Here is a 6,861-nt window from a genome sequence, read left to right as displayed (position 1 = left end):
AGTGGGTGCTAAACAATGTGTACACATGGACATAGAGAGTGGCATTATCAGGGGAAATTCAGCCAGATATCGGGCAAAATTCACCCCCAATATTCCACGTAGGTTCTTTTCTGTTCTCCCTAAGTGTCGGCCAGCCTGAGAAATAAAGGGACAGAGCACAAAAGAGAGAAATTTTAAAGCTGGGGGTCCGGGGGAGACATCACATGTCGGCAGGTTCCATGATGCCCCCTGAGCCGTAAAACCAGAAAGTTTTTATTAGTGATTTTCAAAAGGGGAGGGAGTGTACGAATAGGGTGTAGGTCACAGAGATCACATGCTTCACAAGGTAATAAGATATAACAAGGCAAATGGAGGCAGGGCGAGATCACAGGACCACAGGACCGGGGTGAAATTAAAATTGCAATGAAGTTTCGGGCAAGCATTGTCATTGATAACATCTTATCAGGAGACAAGGTTTGAGAGCAGACAACCGGTCTGACCAAAATTTATTAGGCAGGAATTTCCTCATGGATCCTTTGCTCGATTGATCCTTTTATCATTATGTATTGACCTTCTTTGTCTCTTTTTACAGTTTTTGACTTAAAGTCTGTTTCCTTTATAAACATAGGTATTGCTGCTCACTTTTGGTTTTTATTTGCATGGAATATCTTTTCTCATTTCTTTACTTTCACTATATATGTCTTTCCTGGTGAGATGTGTTTCTTGTAGGCAGCATATAGCTGGGTCATGCTTTTTAAATCCATTCAGCCAGTCTCTTTCTTTTAAGTGGAAAGTTTAATCCATTTAATTCAAGGTTATTATTGATATGTGAGAGCTTAATCCTGTCATATTATTAGTTGGCTTCTTTATGTATGTATATCCTTTCTTCCTTTCTTTTTCTCTTATTGTTTATCATTGTAGTTTTGAGAGACAGGACTAGCTGGATTTCCAGATCTGTTACTATCCGAGGGGTCCTAGGACAAGCAGTCACTAGTTACTTCGCCCAGCCACTAAGTTGTAACTGGGGGACTTTACTCTTTTCACATGCCTTTCTAATTATGCCTGAAAGCCCCACTCCTTTGTTAGGGAGAGACATCCTAGCAAAAGCAGGGGCCATGATACACTAGAATTAGGAGAAGGGAAAAGGGTAAATATATATAAACACTCTAATTATGCTTACCTTCTCCTCCATGCCTACACAAAAATATGGTGAGAAATGGAATTCCTAACTTCTGAGGGAACACCTATTAAACATCAGGAAGCCATTATGAGTTATTATGGGCTGTACGGAAACCTAAAGAGGTGGCCATCTTACACTGCTGGGGTCATCAGAAAGGAAAGGAAAGGGAAATAGAAGGGAACCACCAAGCAGATATTGAAGCCAAAGAGCCACAAGGCGGGACCCTCCATTAGAAATGCTTATAGAAGGAACCCTAGTATGGGGTAATCCCCTCCAGGAAACCAAGCCCCAGTGCTCAGCAGAAGAAATAGAATGGGGTACCTCACAAGGACATAGTTCCCTCCCCTCAGGATGTCTAGCCACCAAAGAAGGAAAAATACTTTTGCCTGCAGCTAACCAATGGAAATTACTTAAAACCCTTCACCAAACCTTTCATTTAGGCGTTGATAGCACCCATCCAATGGCCAAATCATTATTTGCTGGACCAGGCCTTTTCAAAACTATCAAGCAGGTAGTCAGGGCCTGTGAAGTGTGCCAAAGAAATAATCCCCTGCACTTCAGGCCAGACATTTCAATCCCTGTGTCTTTAACCTCCTTGTTAAGTTTGTCTCTTCCAGAATTGAAGCTGTAAAACTACAAATAGTTCTTCAAACGGAGCCCCAGGTGCAGTCCATGGCTAAGATCTACGGCAGACCCCTGGATCTGCCTCCTAGCCCATGCTCCAATGTTGATGACATCAAAGACATCCCTCCTGAGGAAATCTCAACTGCATGACCCCTATTATGCCCCCATTCAGCAGAAAGAAGTTAGTACAGTTGTTGGCCAACCTCCCCAACAGCACTTGGGTTTTCCTGTTGAGAGGGGGTACTGAGAGACAGGACTAGCTGGATTTCCTAGGCCGACTAAGAGTTCCTAAGCCTAGCTGGGGAAGGTGACTGCACCCACCTTTAAACAAAGGTCTTGTAACTCAGCTCACACCTGACCAATCAGGTAGTAAAGAGGGCTCACTAAAATACCAATTAGGCTAAAAGTAGGAGGTAAAGAAATAGTCAAATCATCTATCATCTGAGAGCACAGGGAGAGGGACAATGATTGGGATATAAACCCCAGGCATTGGAGCCAGGGGTGGGCAACCCCCTTTGGGTCCCCTCTCTTTGTATTGGAGCTCTGTTTTCACTCTATTAAATCTTGCCAATGCACACTCTTCTGGTCCATGTTTGTTCCAGCTTGAGCTGAGCTTTTGCTCGCTGTCCACCACTGCTGAATGCCGCCTGCCGATGTGCCACTGACTTCCACCCCTCCAGATCCAGCATGGTGTCCGCTGCACTCCTGACCCAGCAAGGCACCCATTGCTGCTCCCAATCAGGCTAAAGGCTCACCACTGTTCTTCCATGGCTAAGTGCCTGGGTTTGTTCTAATCGAGCTGAACACTAGTCACTGGGTTCCACGGTTCTCTTCCATGACCCATGGCTTCTAATAGAGCTATAACACTCACTGCATGGCCCAGGGTTCAATTCCTTGGAATCCATGAGGCCAAGAACCCCAGCTCAGAGAACAAAAGGCTTGCTGCCATCTTGGAAGTGGCCTGCCCCATCTGGGAGCGGCCCATCACCATCTTGGGAGCTCTAAAAAGAAAGACCCTCCTGTAACAGTTTGGTGGGTTTTTTGTTGTTGTTGTGCTTCCATTTGAGTCTATTCTCTTCCTCATTTGTGTGTTTTCTCTACCAATGGGTTTTATATTTTGTGTGCTTCCTTATGGTAGATATCCTCCTTTTGCTTCTATGTGTAAGATCCCTTTAAGCATTTCTTGTAGGTATGGTTTAGTGATGATAAATTTACTCAGCTTTTATTTGTTTGGGAAAGACTTTATTTCCTTTTCATTTACAAAGTATAACTTTTCTGGGTACAGTATCTTGCAGATAGTTTTTTTCTATCAGTGGACACCATGCTGGATCCGGACGGGTGGAAGTCAGTGGCACGTCTGCAGGCGGCATTCAGCAGTGGTGGAGAGCGAGCGAAAACTCAGCTCAATGAATATATGATCCCATTTTCTCCTGGCTTGTAAGGTTTCTGCTTGCAAATCCACTGTTGATGGGCTCCTTTATAGATGGCTAAATGCTTTTTTCTCACTGTTTTTAGAATTTGCTCTTAATCTTTGACTTTAAGCAATCTGAATACAATGTGCCATGGAGAAGAACATTTTGCATTGTAACTACCTAGGGGTCTCTGAACTTCGTATATCTAGATATCTAAATCTCTTGATAGATTTTAGAAGAATTTAGCTATTATTTCATTAAACAGGTTTTCTATCCCTTTTGTTTCCTTTTTGCCTTCTGGGATAGTCAAAATTTGAATAGTTGGTTGCTTTCTTATGTTTTATATATCAGATATGCTTTGCTTATTGTTTCTTATTTTTTTATTTTTTTCTGGACTGAGTTATTTCAAAAGACCTGTCTTCAGGTTATGTAGTTGTTAATTTTTTTTTATCTAGTGTATCATTGAAGCTTTTGAATTTGTTTTGTATTTAATTCAATGAATTCTTCAGTTCCAGAATTTGTTTGGATCTTTTTTTCTATGATAGTGATCTGTTTGGTAAATTTCTCATTCATATTCTGAATTTTCTGACATTTTTGTATTTTTTTTACTTCTCTTGTGTTTCACTGAGCTTTTTAAATATCACTCTTTTGAATTTTAAGGCATTTTATGGATTTCTTCTTCCTCTTCTTCTTTTTTTTTTTTTTTTTTGAGATGGAGTCTCCCTCTGTAGCCTAGGCTGGAGTGCAGTGGTGCGATCTCAGCTCACTGCAAACTCCACCTCCCAGGTTCAAGCAATTCTTATGCTTCAGCCTCCCAAGTAACTGGGATTACAGGTGTGTGCCACCACTCCTGGCGAATTTTGTATTTTTAGTAGAGGTGGGGTTTCACCATGTTGGGCATGTTGGTCTCGAACTCCTGACCTCAAGTGATCCACCTGCCTTGGCCTCCCAAAGTGCTGGTATTACAAGTATTAGATACCGCACCTGGCCTAGATTAATTTTTTTTAGAATCTCTTGCTGGAGAATTATTGTGTTCCTTTGGGGGTGTCATGTTTTCTTGCTTTTGCATGTTTCTTGTGTCTTTACATTGATATCTGTGCATTTGGGATCATGGTTGCTTCTTTTAATTTTTTGAATCTGCTTTCATAGGGGAGGACATTTTCCCTGAAGTTGTACCTATGGTGTTGGTTGGGTTGGGCACTTTGACTTTGACTCTGAGTGCACGCATTAGTGTGGTTCCCATACGATTTCTTCCTCTGTAAACAGTGTCAGTAGTGTCTGTGATTTCCCCATTGGCTTAGGGTGTGGTTGTTAGTGGAAGCCGTGGTAAAGTTGTTCTGAGATGGGGACATTAGGTGCGCCAAGGGGTGGCAGCAGCATGGTGAGTATGCCTGTCCTTGGGTCTGAGGGTAGCATACACTGGCAATGGTGTTAGTGGATCTAGGTGGGCCAATTCTTGGGCCTCCAGGTGACTTTCTCAGGTTCTGACAGTGGAATGGTGGGCTGGGCTGGTAGGTGGGACCTCAGGCCCCTGCGTGGTGGACATGGCATGAACAGTAGCTGTGGCAGGATAATCCTCTAGCTCCAAAATGGTCCATGCTTTTGTGGTTGGTGGTATAATGGGCTGGATAGGCCAGTCACCAGGCCTGCTGGTGGCACATGCAGGTGGGTGCCAGCCATGGTGGTAGCGGCAGGTTGGGTGGGCCCACCTCCTCCCTGGGAGGAGTACTCAGGTGCCGAGTACTTTGGTACTTTGATACTCAGCTGCCAAAGGTGTTGGATGGAGCAGGATGATACCTAGTCCCCCGTATGACATGTTTGGGCACTAGAGGGGTGGAGCTGGATCAGGTGGGCCTGTCCTCAGACCCCTCAATTGTGTGTGGGCACTGACTGAGGTAGGCAGGAGGGGCTAATGCCCGGGTCTTCAGCAGATGCTCAGCGGGGTCTCTTGAGGAGAGCAGGGTTGCTTTCAGTGGCTGTGGAGCATTGCTTCACCCCCAGGTGGGAGTCATAAACCACTTAGCAATTTTCAAATTTAGCAAATTTCAAGTAATTGCTTTTCAATTAATGTATAGTTAACACAATCCATTGTTATTAACTATAGTCACCCATTTATGTAATAGATCTCCTGAACTTATTCCTCCTAACTGACATTTTGTATCCTTTGATCAACATCTCCTCACCCTCTCCACCAACTCCTGGTAACCCCCATTCTACTCTTTGCTTTTGTGAGTTAAACTTTTTTATACTCCACTTAAAAGTGAGATCATGCAGTATATATCTTTCTGAGCCTGACTTATTTCACTTAATGTAACATGGTCCAGGTTCACCCCTGGTGTTGCAAAGGACAGGATTTTCTTCTTTCTTAAGGCTAAATAATATTTGTGTGTGTGTGTGTGTGTGTGTGTGTGTGTGTGTACATGCATGCATAGCACATTTTCTTTATCCATTCATTCATCTGTTGATAGACACTTAGGTTGATTGTATATATTGGCTGTGTGAGTATGCTACAATAAACATGGGGTGCAGATAGCTCACAGAGGAACTTTACAGTAACTAAACGTTCTTTAAGAAGAAGAAAGATCTCAAATCAATGCAACCCCCCTCTCTTCCCATTGCCCCCTACCTCTTCCCCACCCTCTTCTATCCCCTTCTGTGTCTCTGTTTCTCTAGAATCTGAGATCCAGAAGCACAGATACTGGGTCCAGTTTGATTGATGTCCCCTAGGCTTGGGTCTGTCTCCATCACTGCTGTGAGCCTGTCCCCTCCCTGCCCCTGGCAGGGGTCAGTCCCTAATCACCCAACATGTGAATGAATGTGTCCACATCTGCTGTCTCTGCCTGCTGCTTTTTTTCTCATTTAAAATGGGAAATCTGCATCTTGCTTGCATAGCTAAACAAACCACTTGCCGCCACTGAAGATGCTGATTCAGGGAATGGAGGTGGCTGAGTCACCCCACATCCATGTGGATTAGACACAGGCAATGCATTATCTGAGGCTGAAAGTCAAAGCTGCCAGGAGCAGCTGCACCCCATACTTCCCCAACCCACGAGGAGAGGACCAACAAAGTACAACCCACACTTTCCTGACCTAGGAAAGATGCCACCATGGACTTTCCTGACCCCAGGACCTGTCTCCTGCTGTGTTGTGCAATCTGGCACAGTCTTTATAGCAACACAAGTATGGCCTAATACGGGTACTCTGGGTCCTCATTCCACCCTTGGGGAGCACTGATAAGGAGGCATGAAGTGCTTTCAATAGAGTAATTCACTTAGTTGTCACCCTTTGATGTAGTAATTGTTTTCACCCCCATTTTGTGGATGGAGAAAGTGAAACACAGAGGGGTTGAGACTTCTCCCAATGTCACGCAGCAGGCTAAAGGTAGAATCAGTTGTCAAACCCAGAAAGTTTGGTTCTACAGCCTACTGTTTTAATCACTACCCCATGATGCCTCTCTCAGCAGAATGTGGAGACAGAGAGAGATAGTAAAGAGTAGGAGGCAGAGAGAAAGAGAGAGAGTGTGAGAGGCAGAGGAAGAGAATAAGTTCTGGAGAAAAGGGATTCTGCAGGTAAATAGCAAGGGAGAAACTGGGTTAAATGACAGGAAGCCAATTTCTCACCTGCAGGACTTCTCAGGGTCTTTAGAATGTTTATGTGCCTTTAAAA

At 44.0% G+C, this 6,861-nt stretch overlaps 3 annotated features.

The window, feature by feature from the left end:
• Nucleotides 6,115-6,525: an enhancer, noted in NCBI's record as "-8 kb enhancer fragment". NCBI's record gives the evidence for it as "EXISTENCE:reporter gene assay evidence [ECO:0000049][PMID:12571232]".
• Nucleotides 6,304-6,319: a protein binding site, noted in NCBI's record as "NR3". NCBI's record gives the evidence for it as "EXISTENCE:protein binding evidence [ECO:0000024][PMID:12571232]".
• Nucleotides 6,304-6,319: a protein binding site, noted in NCBI's record as "NR3". NCBI's record gives the evidence for it as "EXISTENCE:protein binding evidence [ECO:0000024][PMID:12571232]".

The sequence above is a fragment of the Homo sapiens genome, chromosome 19 (genome assembly GCF_000001405.40).
Source record: "Homo sapiens chromosome 19, GRCh38.p14 Primary Assembly".
NCBI classification, from domain to species: domain Eukaryota; kingdom Metazoa; phylum Chordata; class Mammalia; order Primates; family Hominidae; genus Homo; species Homo sapiens.
The sequence above is the reverse complement of the archived record's forward strand: the minus strand, read 5'-3'. Positions and strand labels throughout refer to the sequence as shown.